This window comes from Homo sapiens, chromosome 3 (genome assembly GCF_000001405.40).
Source record: "Homo sapiens chromosome 3, GRCh38.p14 Primary Assembly".
Taxonomy (NCBI): domain Eukaryota; kingdom Metazoa; phylum Chordata; class Mammalia; order Primates; family Hominidae; genus Homo; species Homo sapiens.
This window is the reverse complement of record NC_000003.12, coordinates 107,592,855-107,607,360: the sequence shown is the minus strand read 5'-3', so window position 1 is coordinate 107,607,360 and position 14,506 is coordinate 107,592,855. Positions and strand designations below refer to the sequence as shown.

The 14,506-nt window shown below is 38.5% G+C and overlaps 1 protein-coding gene across 14 annotated transcripts in view, besides 2 other annotated features; it reads right to left on the bottom strand.

The window, feature by feature from the left end:
- BBX (BBX high mobility group box domain containing) overlaps positions 1-14,506 on the bottom strand; it is a 288,378-nt gene that overhangs the window by 203,979 nt on the left and 69,893 nt on the right. For 2 of the 14 annotated variants that reach the window (XM_047448597.1, XM_024453651.2), the window contains exon 1: positions 7,773-8,043. The exons of 11 other annotated variants lie outside the window; for them this stretch is intronic. The gene's annotated coding sequence lies outside the window, so the exon portion shown is untranslated. Of the gene's footprint in view, positions 1-7,772; positions 8,044-8,197; positions 8,326-14,506 lie in introns of those variants that run through there. One more of the 14 variants, XM_024453653.2, reaches the window with a different exon arrangement.
- Positions 5,857-6,357: an enhancer, noted in NCBI's record as "H3K27ac hESC enhancer chr3:107319851-107320351 (GRCh37/hg19 assembly coordinates)". NCBI's record gives its function as "activates a minimal SCP1, AML or CMV promoter by ChIP-STARR-seq in primed H9 embryonic stem cells {active_cell/tissue: H9 hESC(primed)}" and the evidence as "EXISTENCE:reporter gene assay evidence [ECO:0000049][PMID:30033119]".
- Positions 8,025-8,847: an enhancer, noted in NCBI's record as "NANOG-H3K27ac hESC enhancer chr3:107317361-107318183 (GRCh37/hg19 assembly coordinates)". NCBI's record gives its function as "activates a minimal SCP1, AML or CMV promoter by ChIP-STARR-seq in primed H9 embryonic stem cells {active_cell/tissue: H9 hESC(primed)}" and the evidence as "EXISTENCE:reporter gene assay evidence [ECO:0000049][PMID:30033119]".

The window sequence follows — 14,506 nt, the reverse complement described above, 5'->3', positions numbered from 1 at the left end:
ACCTGTAATCCCAGCACTTTGGGAGGCCGAGGCGGGTGGATCACCTGAGGTCAGGAGCCAACACGGTGAAACCCTGTCTCTACCAAAAATATAAATATTAGCTAGGCATGGAGGTGGGCACCTGTAATCCCAGCTACTCGGGAGGCTGAGGCAGGAGAATTGCCTGAACCCAGGAGATGGAGGTTGCAGTGAGCCGACACAGTGCTGTTGCACTCCAGCCTGCGTGACAGAGTGAGACTCCATCTCAAAAAAAAAAGAATAAGATCTTGTTATTTGCAACAAAATGGATGAAACTGGAGGTCATTAAGTTAATAAGCCAGGCAGAGAAAGACAAACATCATATGTTTTCACTAATCTTGGGAAGCTAAAAATTAAGACAACTGAACCATTGGAGATAGAGAGTAGAATGATGGTTACCAGAGAGTGGGGGGAAGTGGGGATGGTTAATGGGTATAAAAAAGTCGTTATAAGGAATAAGATCTAGTAGTTGATAGCACAGAATGGTGACTATAGTCAATAATTTAATCATACATTTAAAAATAACTAAAAGAGTATAATCGGATTGTTTGTAACACAAAGGATAAAGACTTGAGGTGATGGATACCCCATTTACCCTGATGTGATTATTATACATTGTGTGCCTGTATCAAAATATCCCACATACTCCATAAATATATATATCTACAAGGTACCCACAAAAATTCAAAATAAAAACTTTTTAAAAAGAGAGAAATAGCCATGTAAAAATATAACCAATATTAATTGAGTAATATAAAATATTCTACAAAATAGGAAACAGACATTTGGAAATACTGGGGTAGAGAAACCAAGGATGTTTCAAAAGTGTCGCATCACATGGTATTATTATGATATGATGCCAGCCTCAGGTTAATAAAACCAGGGGCTTCCAAACTATGAAGGAACACAATCAACCTGTATTAACCAAACGGCTGAAGGAATAGCCCAGTCTGATTGACTAAATGTACTTCTGAAGCCTTTTTGTTTCAAACATCTGCTATTGCAAACCATTTTAAAATATATTAGAGTATACTTCCTTGCTTTAGTAACTACAATATAGTGAACATAATTAAATCTCCCACTGCTGACCGTGGGTCTTACCATATATTAGGATAAGCATTGTTGTGAACATTATTTCTCACTGGACCCAAACAAAGATGTGAACATTTGGGTTAGATACATATACAAACTGACCCTAGGCTATTCATTCTTTGGAAACTCCTCTTTTTTTAACTACAACTATTTAAAATCAATTTTTAAAGGGGAGAAAAAGAGCTTATTTTCCTAAAAGTCAAGAGCAGGAAAAATAAACCTGGTTATCTGAACTTTTACTATATCATTGGAGCTTTTCGAAAGTAATAGGTATTCTTGAAAAATCTGTTCCATTTTCAACAGTTAAGGCAATGAGTATCCAACAGCAAAGCTTGGGGACAAGAAAGGTAAAATCCAAAAAGCTTGGGGACAAGAAAATAGTACTGAAGAAAGCTGCTCAGCATCCAGGTAATTATTAAGCATGTCTTACATACTAGTATGTCTTATGTACTAAGTACCCTGGCTAAGCACTATGTCTACAGCAAGCCTTCACTTCCTGTGCTTCCATTTCTTCATCTGCAAAATGAGGAGATGGGACATACATGCCTGTCCCTTTATATGCAAAAGTTCTCATACTGTGATTTATTAAGAACAAAACGATATTACTCTACCATCAACTGTGTGTGTGTTTGGGTGGTGAGAGGGTGGTAGGAGAAGGAAGGGATATCTAACTCTCCAAGGAAAGTAAAAATTTGGATGCCCAAATTCCTAAGAAAACTATTCTCTGCAGTAACCTTAGGAATGTTGACTTTAGTTATTTTACTCCTCTTTTTATTGCTTTGGGCAGAACACTGAGTGAATAACAAATCCATGACTGGGCTATATGTTAAAATGCTGTGGGGTTTAATATTAAATCCCCCCCCCAAAAAAAAAAATAGAAAGTGAAGAATCCATGGAAGCTTTTGTTTCCTTTTAGTTTTCTTTGAAGTCTTATCCTAAATGACAAATTGCATCAGCTACTGTGGTTTGATACAAAGAGTAATGAAGTGGGGACCAGCAGAGTTAGATTGGGGTTCTAGGCTTGACAGTAGTGAACTGTACACAAATCACCTGCTCATTTGCAAAATATTTCCTTCTGTTGTTAATCAAGAATGTTATGATAGATACAACACATTTCCTTTTAAAATAAAGGTGTTATGCCAATAGGTCAGGAGAATGCAATGGTTATCATGTATTTTGATTGTGAAAAGGCATCTCACCGAGTACTGAATACAAACATTAAAATAAGCTACGCAGTCAAGTAAATTCTTAACTCTGAACAGTGAGTTTTGAGTAATGAATCAAAAGGCACACTGTAAAGATGAACTGAAATAAGAATATATTTAACTGTGGCTCCAAACGAAGGGCCTAGATCATTCTTTAAAATTGCTGCTGTATACATGTAATAAATTTCTGGCATTCAGTTTGGATGTATTATCTCCCTGTGTGGAATAACTTATCCACTGGGTTTTCCTCTTATGTTTCAAAAGGAAAAATGTAAATTCTGGCAATAAAGTTGGGGCGGGGGTGGGAAAGCCATGTAAGCATGGGGAAGGAGAGGCCTGATTTAAGTAGTTTATGTACTTGAAAAAGAACTAAGGGCTTGAGCTGACTTTGAGCTCCACATGAGTCAACAGTGTGACATGACTGCCAAAAAAACTAATGTAATCTTGGCCACCAATAACAGAAGTGTCATGTACAGAACCATGGAGTTACAGCTTTACTGTATTCTCTGCATCCTCTGCTGGGCCCCAGACATCTAGAATGATAGGCTCAGTCCCAAAAGTACCCTATTTAAGAGTAATAGTGACAAACAAGAGCAATTCCAGGAAGGGGAGTGACCAGAATACCGAAGAACCTAGAAAATAAGTCCTGAAGACTGCAGGAACTAGGACTATTTAGGCTGGAAAAGCTAAGTCTTGGAGGAGAAATGATATTAAATATGTCATGAGCTGCTCTGTGACAGAAGAGTTCCGACCTAAGAGGACACATACCAAAGCAGATACAAACAGTACCCAAAACGGAACAGGCTGCTATAGCACTAGGAATGTTCAGGCAATGCAACTGTCAAGTCTGACTACACATCAGAAACACCTGGGAATAGTTTTAAAACTATCAATGCCCAGGCCCCATCCCCAAGCAATTAAATTAAAATCTCTCGGGAAAGGCCCGGGCAATGGGAGGAATTAAAAACTTCCCTGGGGGTTCCAATACGCAGCTACACTTGAGAATGACCACGGTAAAGACAGGCAATCCTTGGAGATACTATGGGTTCAGTTCCAGACCACCACAATAAAGCCAGTATCACAAGAAGGCAAGTCTCACCAACTTTTTGGTTTCCCAGTGCATACAAAAATTAGGTTTACACGATACTGTACTATATTAAGCAAGCAAATAACATTATTTCTAAAAAAAAAAGTACACACTAAATTTTAAAATATCTTATATTTTAAAAACGCTAGTGATCATCAGTGAGTCATACCCTTTGCTGCTGAGGGGTCTTGCCTCCATGTTGATGGCTGCCGACAGATCAAGGTGGTGGTTGCTGAATGTCAGGATGGCTGTAGCAATTTCTTAAAATAAGATGACAAGGAGGCCGGGTACGGTGGCTCACATCTGTGATCCCAGCACCTTGGAAGGCCGAGGCTGGTGGATCACATGGTCAGGAGATCGAGACCATCCTGGTCAACATGGTGAAACCCCCATCTCTACTAAAAATACAAAAACTAGCCAGGCATGGTGGCATGCACCTGTAATCCCAGCTACTCAGGAGGCTGAGGCAGGAGAATCACTTGAACCTGGGATGCAGAGGTTGCAGTGAGCTGAGATCCCACCACTGCACTCCAGCCTGGGCGACAGAGCGAGACTCCGTCTCAAAAAAATAAATAAATAAAAAATAAGATGACAAGAAAGTTTAATGCATTGACTCTTCCTTTCACAAAAGATGGATCTGTACCAGGAGATGTGGTTTGATAGCATTTTACACACTTTTTTCAAAACTGGAATCAGGCTGGGCACAGTGGCTCACGCCTGTAATCCCAGCACTTTGGGAGGCCGAGGCAGGTGGATCACAATGTCAAGAGATCGAGACCATCCTGGCCAACAGGGTGAAACCCCGTCTCTACTAAAAACAAAAAAAAATTAGCCAGGCATGGTGGCGGGAGCCTATAGTCCCAGCTACTTGGGAGGCTGAGGCAGGAGAATGGCGTGAACCTGGGAGGTGGAGCTTGCAGTGAGCTGAGATTGTGCCACTGCACTCCAGCCTGAATGACAGAACGAGACTCCGTCTCAAAACAAAACAAAACAAAACAAAACAAAACAAAAAAACACTGGAATCAATCCTCTTAAACCCCACCACTGCTTTGTCAACTAAGTTTATATAATGGTCTAAATCTTTTGTTGTCATTTCAACAATGTTCACAGCATCTTTATTAGAAGTAGATTCCATTTGAAAAACCAGTTTCTTTGCTCATCCACAAGAAGCAACTCCTCCTCATCGGTTCAAGTATCCATTGTAAGACTACAGCAATTCAGTCATATCTTCAGTCTCCACTTCTAATTTCAGTTTTCCTGCTATTTCTACCACTTCTACAGTTATCCTTTCCACTGATGGCTTGAATCCCTCAATGTCATCCATGAGGGGTAGAAGCAACTTCTTCCAAACTCCTGTTAATGTTGATATTTTCACCTCCTCCCAATGAATCACCAATATATATTTTTTGAGACAAGGTCTCACTATGTTGCCCAGGCTGATGATCTCAAACTCCTGGGCTCAAGTGATCCTCCTGCCTTGGCCTCCCAAGTGCTGAGATTATAGGTGTGAGCCACCATGTCTGGCCAAATCACCAATATTCTTAATGGCATCTAGAATGGTGAATCTTTCCAGAAGGTTTTCAATGACTATGCCCAGATCCATCAGAGCAATCACTATAATCACTATTTATAGCAGCTGTAGCCTTAGGAAATGTATTTCTTAAATAATAAGACTTTGAAGTCAAAATTACTCCAGATCCATGGGCTACAGAATGAATGCTGTGTTAGCAGCATGAAAACAACATTAATCTCCTTGTACACCTCCATCAGAGCTCTTGTGTGACTAGGTACATAGTCAATGAGCAGAAACATTTTGAAAGGAAACATTTTTTCCGAGCAGCAGGTCTCAACAGTGGGCTTGAAATATTCAATAAACCCTGCTGTAAACAAATGTACTGTCATCCATGCTTGGTTGTTGCATTGATAGAGCACAGTCAGAACAGATTTAGCAGAATCCTTAAGAGTCCTGATATTTTTGGAATGGTAAATGAGCAATGGCTTTATCTTATAAAATCACCAGCTGCATTAGCACCTAAAAAGAGTCAGCCTGTCCTTTGAAGCTCTTTGAAGCTAGGCATTGACTTCTCTCTAGCTGTGAAAATCCTAGATAGCACCTTCCTCCAACTGAAGGCTATTTTGTCCACATTGAAAATATGTTGTTTAGTGTAGCTGCCTTCATCAATAGTCTTATCTAGATCTTCTGGATAACTTGCTGTAGCTTCTCCATCAGCACTTGCTGCTTCCTCTTGCACTTTTATGTTATAGAGACAGCTTCTTTCCTTAAACCTCATGAACCAACCTCTGTTAGCTTCAAACTTTTCTTCTGCAGCTTTTTCATCTCTCTCAGCCTTCAGAGGATTGAAGAGAGTTAGGGCCTTGCTCTGGATTAGTCTTTGGCTTAAGGGAGTGTTGTGGCTGGTTTGATCTATCCAGACCAAACTTTCTCCGTATCAACAACAAAGTTGTTTTGCTTTCTTATCATTGTGTGTTCACTGAAGTAGTACTTTTAATTTTCTTCAAGAACTTTTCCTTTGCATTCACAACTTGGTTAGCTGCTAGTGTAAGAGGCCTACCATTTCACCTCTCTCACCTTTTGACATGCCTTCCTCAATAAGCTTAATCATTTCTAGCTTTTCATTTAAAGTGGGAAACATGAGACCCTTTCACTTCAACACTTAAAAGCCACTACAGGGTAATTAATTGGCCTAATTTCAATATTGTTGTGTTGGAGACAATCGGGAGGCCTGAGGGAGAAAGATGGGAACGGCCAGTGGGTGGAGCAATCAGAACACACAACTTTTACCAATTAAGTTTGCAGTTGTGTATGGGTGCAGTTCGTGGTGCCCCAAAACAATTACAATAGTAACAACAAAGAGCACTCCTCACAGATCACCATAGCAGATATGATAATAATGAAAATATTTGAAATGTTACAAGAATGACCAAATTGTAACACAGAAACAGGAAGTGAGGGCATACTGCTGGCAAAGTGGTGCTGATAGACTTGCTTGAGGCAGAGTTGCCACAGATCTTCAATTTGTAAAAAATACAGTATCTGTGATGTGCAATAAAGTGAAGCACAGTAAAGCAAGGTACACATGGACAGTCAGGATGGCCACCTGTCTCTCTGTGGTGTAGAGGTGAGTCCTCCTCAGAGGCCTGTATTAGGTTTACTTCCCAGATTCCGTCTTCTCTAGAACTTTTAATATTTTTAACTTGTTAGGCCCAACATTATCCTCTATGATCATGAAGATTAACTCCTGTTTACAAATATTTGAGAAGAAACGAAATTTAAATGGCGCACTCTCAAGAATTTGTAATAGCTTGGGTTATAACAGCCAGTGTATTCTATTCATGAATAAAAGGTTTCAAAGATTTAAGCACTACTGTCTTTGTGGAAAAGAACAGTGCCAGCACCTTTGTATGTAAATTAACTTAAACAATTTAATTTCCCAAGTTTTGTAAAATAAATTTAAAACATACTAACATTCAAATGTTCTCCAGTATCTTCCATGATAAAATAATTCAAATCAAGCAGAAACTACTTTGTAGCTTGAATGGTCTCTACCACTAGTAGCTCATCTAACGCACATGATAAAATGTTATATATTTTCCTACTTCAAACATTTCTAAAACTTTCTATAACAGAACAATGTGGCTTCTTAGTAACCAATATACAGTTCTCCATGCTTCCTTAGGTATTGGTTATAGTCTTGTTCTTAATACTTTTCTCTGACTACTGAATAAAAACATGTATAAAGATTTCTTAATTTCCTTTGAAAATATACATGCATGTGTGTTCAAAAGGCTTCTGGCCTTAATATAGGTCAGGCATCAATGGTTTTAGGCTATGCTTCTAAATTTTAGTGGCTCCTCCAGATTTTTCCACTTAAATGTAACACACCCTCTAAAAACTTTAAAACTTTCACTTTAGTTTACAATAAATCATCACCCATTTCCTTTTACTTTTGCCATCTGTCAGTGCAAAAAGCTCCTCATGAATCTGAAGCTTCTAGGCTACTTGGAGTCTCTCATTAATCTTTGTCATGTGGTTCATAAATAATGAGAGACGTATTAAAAATCATCATCTTGTTTACAGACAACCGCCACCAAAAGAGCCTGGAATAACACTGTGGATTTGACTAGACGTTTTCAGCCTGAACCAGCATTTCAGGAGTCCTGATGTGGGGACGAAGCACATATTTAACCTTTTTTACCATTAAGCTGGTTAACTGTACTACGTTTCAAGTAAGGATTACCCTTTCCATATCAAAACACTAGATAGAATTACGACCTTACAGCCATCTAAGCAGCTGCTGGACGGGCAGTTTGTTCCACAGCCAACACCTTTCCATTTTTCAAGCACATACCTCTCACAGAAATGTTTTCAGTGCGGCAGTCTACAGAGCTGGTTATAACACCGGCACGATGTGACAACAAAATTCAAGATGATTTTGCTCTTTCAGCCTGCCCCCACTTTTTTTTTAAAAAAAATTGTTTCCTCCTCCTTCATCCCCCAAAGGAAACCAAACCAACAATACTTCCACAAAACCAGCCTCAGACTTATGAATATAATTCTTTCAGTGAAAGCAGACCAGCTTTATAGGGGAACAGCTTTCATGAGAAGCAGGAAGCTGATCTGAGCAGCAGAGAGCAGGGATGGGGCGGAGCAGAAAGGAACTCAGCTGGGGGAGAGAGCGAAGCACAGACAGTACTGGCTGCTTCTAGTTACTTATTGACAGTTTCATCTAATAGCAAGGATTTATAAACAGCGTGAACATCCATCCTGCCATACCTTTCCTTCCTTGTATGAATCTCTGTCAATCTGGTAAACTATTACACAGGGGAAAGTAAGGCCTTACAGCCCCGCCAGAGCCCAGTTGCAGGGAAATGATGTAAGCTTCCCACCTCCCACCAGCCCCCGCTCTGCCAATCCACCTCTACTCTGACCTGTTAATATCCCCTTCCTCCCCCAGGGTCACTGCCTGGGGCCAGAGGGCCCCAGGCTTGCCTAGCTGGGTCCTATTGTGGGGCAGAAAGTGTCTGCCAGCGGGTAAGAAGCATTTTTGTTTTGAGAAAGTCTTCAATGAGAGAGTAAATGCCTTTCCATTTAAAAAATAATGCTGCATCACTAAAAGCTAATCAGTCCTCAAGAGAAATAGTATTAAATAGGATTGAGGTGAGGAATGCAATCTGCCAAAAGGCAGCAGAAGGTGTGATGTAGCAAAGGTTATAATACTGGGAGTTAAGGGACATAGGTTCTACTTTTTTCCTACCACCTATGTGACTTCAGGCAATTGGCATAACCTCTCTAGTTTCATTTTCTGTAAAACTAAAGAATTAATATAAATTATATCTGCAGTCTTTTGTACTATTGTAATTTTATAAACTGACACCCAAAATAAATAAGCCGGGAAGCAGAAAGTAATCTTACTGTGGCCAATTGTTTGTTGTTTACTCAAAATTGCAAGTAGTTCCCTATATTAAGCTATTTTAGATCTGCTTTGCCAAAGTACTAGTCAATGTGAGTAAGACTAGCACAAGATATAAAGGGGGATAAGCTACAGGTAGTTCAAGTGTCACTCCTGATCTGGAAAACTTACAGAGAATTAGGATTGCAAAGACTCATGCGCAGGAAAAGACAATTTATAAACAGATGCATAGATGCAATCAAGACCAAAGACCTAAGACATTACCCTAGACAGCATAAACAATTTACCTTGGTCAGCAGTGTTCTAAGTTTAAGGGACACATACACACACACCCCCTAGAAATTCTTATTAAAAAATTAAGATGCCAAAATACGCCAATGACTATCACAATAGTCTTCAAACTGGGATAAGCAAACTTCTGGAAGCACATGGTTTTCCAAAGGATATGCAGGCACACAGGTAGTAAATCAATTTCCATGTCAACTTTTCCAAGTACCCTCTCCTAAAACTGACCTGTCTGAGAGTGCTCCAGGGGAGTAGATTACCCTATCTTACCTTCCCTTTCCCAAACCCCTCATTCTCCCATTTTACAAAATCAGGCACACAGCTCACCCATCATCAGTTTCTCACTCTGGGGCATTGCTTGGGGTAGGGGACCAAAAACAAAACAAAACAAAACAAAACAAAACCTCTGGGCAGGACACAAGGGGACAATTGGAAATACTGTTGGTGAAAAAGTGAATGGCCCTAATCAATCACTCTTCTTTTGCCACTCAGGTGGCTTTGCCAATTCTTTGTTTAGAATAAAATTGGAGAAGGACCTAATTGAGTTGTCAGCTGATAAATCATTAAATCATCAAAAATAATTTTACATGATAAATCATTGAAAGAAATGAGCAACACTGCTATATAAGTACTCTCATTCTTTCAACTTATGTAAACAAAATTCCAGAGTGTATATATTTAAAAAGAATGAAAAATATGCTGAACTCTTTCCCCAATAATATTCATATACTAATTATGAATTAATTAGAAGAAAAACACCAATGATGCATAAAGAGATAAATTTCTAGTAAAACTGTATTTTTATCTCTAATATTTTTCAAAGCTTTGCAATTTACATGTGTATTCTGACCTACTGTGTTCTAATCATCACTCTAATGATACTTTTTAAAAACAATCACTGGGAGCCGTATGGTCACAGAAAATTAACTTTTTTACCAGAAATATGATAGGGTAATCAATAGATTTTTAAACATAACAATATATAAAGATAAAATGTGGAAAAAGTTTTAAGGAGGCAAATTAACACAAAAATTTCACACAAACAGTAGTTCATAAGTGGACAACATAAAGTATTATAAAGTTATAGGCTTTGCTTAAGACAAATATATTTAAGAATATAACAATTTTACTAAGAAATGCCAAAATTTACAATAAAATGGCAATTACACCATTAGCAAATGATTTAGACTTACGATGAAAAATTTCAAATGTCAATAAAGTAATCCATAGTTTTCAAAATTCTTTTACAGGAGTAAAAAAGTTTAAAGGCCACTGTACTGGTTTACTTTTCGTCTATTCTACACACAAAACACCTTTCAAGTGCCATTACAGAGTGAAAAAACTAACAAACAAACCAAAGAAAACAGCAATTTAGACCCTCAGGAAATGAGCCACTTTGATCAACGAAGTGTTCCAGATATTTGTGGTTATACTCGTTGAGTACCAAACAGTTTTGTTTTCTAATTTTAAATTATTCTAGATGAAAATGTTGCCAAAATGGGGAACTCTTTCCCATCTTCTTAAATGGACCACATCAACATGATTTAACCTTTATTAGTGTTTCCCAGGCAATCACCAGTAACATTAATCCCACTGAGCACTCAAACATAATGCCCCCAAGATCCAGGAGGCTGCTCTGGTCTGCTTCTCTGCATCTCTGCCAGGAAATTGCAAGGTGTGGAATCTCATGAGCTGGGTTCAATTCCTAGCTTAGCCTATCTCACATAAGCTGCCAGCCCCTGAGAGAGGCACTGAAACTCTCTGGGTCCCAACTTTCTTCCCCATAAAAAATTGTTAATACCATTACCTTCTTAAACTATCTCACAAAACTGACATGAGTGCACAGATGTGAATACACTTTTTATTTAAAGATGCCATATCAAGAAAACTTACTATGTTCTGGATTTTTCCCCTTTTTGGTCAGGCTCCTCCTATCACTTCTCAACACTGAATGACTGCATGAAGTCCCTACCCCCATTCCTGCCCCCAACCCCTGCATTCTAACTGCAGTAGGCATGGAAATCAGCCAAAAAATTAATTAGATGTATTTAATTCTAATAAAAATAGGTTAAGTAAGAGATGAGTGTGCTGTCTATAAAATACAGTTGACCCTTAAACAATATAGGTTTAAACTATGTGATTCCACTTACACACAGATTCTTTTCAAAAAAATATATTGGAAAACTATTTGGAGATTTGCGACAATTTGTGAAAACTCACAGATGAACTGCAAAGCCCAGAAATATCAAAAAAATTAAGACAAAATTAGGTATGTCATGAGTGCCTAAAATATATGTAGATACTAGTCTAATTATATGTTAGCCAACTATTTATGTTGCTGGTAAGGCTTCCAGTCAATAGTAGGCTATTTAAGTTTTGGCGGAGTCAAAAGTTACACACAGACTTTTAACTGTGCAGGGGTCAGCATGTTAAACCCCGTGTTGTTCAAGAGTAAGCTTTACATCAAGTTTGTGAAATTTATTTTTAGAGATCATATGCATTCTGGATCACTGATAGTGACTGCTGAGTAAGGTATAGAACAATTTAACTATACGTGTTCCATACAAAACTTCAGTCTGCTCTGACATAACAAGAGTCACAGAAAGGAGGGGCCTAATACAATTTTAATCTCTGATCATCATTCATTTCGGTGTCAAATCCATCTCCTTCCCAACCACTCACACAAGTCCGTATTATTATACTTTCATTAGTTATTTCTGCACTAAATGTTTTTGCTTATTAATGTGTTTGATAGTCCGAAGCTTCAGTTTCCAAGTTCTTGGTTCACCCTGTCTGAAACCTCAGGTTCATTCCCAGAAGCATGAAATAAACCTTTCACTTTCAAGAAGTAGCAAATAAAATTCAAATAACATCAGAGGGGAGGTATTCTGTTTTTCAAAATGCACATATGGTAAGCTAGGCCCCTTATTCTCTTCCACAAACTATTATAAAGTTACTATTATTATATTCTCACTTGATCCTCTGTGCAACTCTGCTATTATTCCCAGGTTACTGATTTGAATCTGAACCTCGTATGTATTTAAGTGACTTGCTCAAGGTCACAAAGGCAGCAGATGAAAGTCAAAACTAGAACTCAAGCCTCCAGATGGATGGTCCAGCCTAGTTCCCTAGTAAACATGCTTGCCCCACTGAAACAGCTCTGTTAGGATAAACACAGACTCTGCCGCAAGGAATGGCAGCAGCATTCTTGCTCTGTTCTATGATTCCTGTGGGACATCGTGTTTTAAAGAGCAGACATTCTGGAGTCACACAGATGTGAGTTTGAATCCAGACAACATAATAACTGTGAGCAAATTATTTAACTTTACTAAGCCTCAATTGCCTCATCTTTTAAAGGTAATAACAGCATCTTTGAGGGATCAAAAAAGACAGTATCCTTAGCACATGCCAGTTATCAACTTGAGTTTATCAAATTTTTTTTTTCTTCAGGCAAGGGGCAGTGCAAAAATTTAAAAATAAAAAATAACGTTTTTAAGCTATTATTATATGACATGTGTTAATTCATTTAAATCTCCTAACAATCCTATGATGTGGTAAATACTATTATTTTCATTCCTGTTTCATTGATGAGGAAAGACCTTGTCTAGGAGAGGTAAGGCAATTTGCCTGGGGTCACAGAAATAAGAAATGAAAGAGCTGGCATTGAAGCTAAGCAGCCTGACTCTAGGGCTCATAGTCAGAAATGCGATCTCTCTGGAAATGATATAATTATAGCACTGCATTTATTCCCACCACCAACACCATCATTGTCATCTCCGCTGCCGTCACCAACCTTGTCTACAGTTAGGCTAGAGGGGCGGCTAGGTCTATGAAGCACCCCAGTGGTGATGAGACAAAGAGACAAAAACTTGACTAAGTAAGACTGACAGGAATAAGGGCTTCAAGGGAAGAAGTCACCAAGGAAGCTGGTCCCCGGAAGAGAATAATGTGCAGCGGAATGGATGAACTAAATGGAGGCCTGCAACTGTGAACGTGAAAAAATATCAGCTACTAGACAGGGGGAGGAAAGGGAAACAGCCCAAGAAAGACAAACTTACATATAAAAAAATTTATCAGATGCCTAAAAGAATACTAAAAAGAAAAATAGCAAATACCTGGTCTGTGATACAACTTGGAGTCTAATCCTTGTCTACTAAATAACTGCTATCTGACACTAAGAGAAAAATGTGATCATTTTAATCTCCCTTCATTGATGACCTGATACAAGCACAAAGAAAAGCATTTGCCTCTGAAAATATCAGAGCCCAGCAAAACCTCCCTCTCAACTACTGAACTGCAATTCTATTTCTTTGGCAAATCTTAAATCATATGTGCATGCAATGTTATTTCTGGGTTCCTTTGAATAACTGTGTTTTGGGCTTTTAATCCACATTATTTTCCTCTACAGCTTCCGTATAAAACTAAAGCCTGTTTGGTTTTTGGGGGGACTTTTTTTGTTTGTTTGTTTCGTTTTGTTTTGTTTTTCCACTTACAGGGACTGAGAGAAATCACAGTTTGCCCATTTCCCTTGGGCGGAATTAGGTTGCATCCTATGTATTCCCAAATACTCTGCATATGCCACTTAGAGAGCAGATGACTCCCATCTGTGACTATAGATCTGGTTTCCCCATTACCCTCTACGATCCCATAGAAGACCCATGTCTTGTTCATCTTTACAACCCCAGCACCTAGTATGCTGTGTTGCACTCAATAAATGTTGGAAGAAAAACTATTTGAAAGTTTTCAAGTCTGTTTTCTGAATCCTTCAAGGTTTCCATTGACACTGAACTTACTCTAGAAGCCTATCTCCTTAGGCAGTAATAATCTCAGATCACCAAAATTGATTAGGATTTAGTGGATTAGTGATTACTCTGGCATGGCACTTGGTTGGGAAAATAAAAAGGAAGCCTCCCTTGGGTTGATCTTTCAGTATCTATTTTGGTGAACAAACAGCCAGTGTTCAGTTTTCAAACAGAAGATACGCCTTAGGGTCATGATCACTTAAAATTTATTAACTACCTCAAAGGGCTTTGTTTATCCCATAATATCTAGCAAAGTGCCTAGCACAAGGTCAGTGTCAGATAAACACTTTTATATTGGTTGATTAATTGACTCCTGTTATTAGAACTGCCACAGGCCAAATGCAGACAATCCTTGAACTCCCAACGAGGGTGTTAACAGATCTAGCAGAACACCAGTAAGACTTTAAGATCAGATAATTAGCTTTTTAGAAGTACAAAGTTAAAATTATATATACTTAGAGACAATTTTGAAAACCTTAAAAAATCATAATTCTTTACTTCTGTATAGAAAGATCAAGTAGATCTTTGAAAAACAAAGTGCTAAACGAGCATTTGACCTTGATCTTAAAAAAACCACTCTTCCAT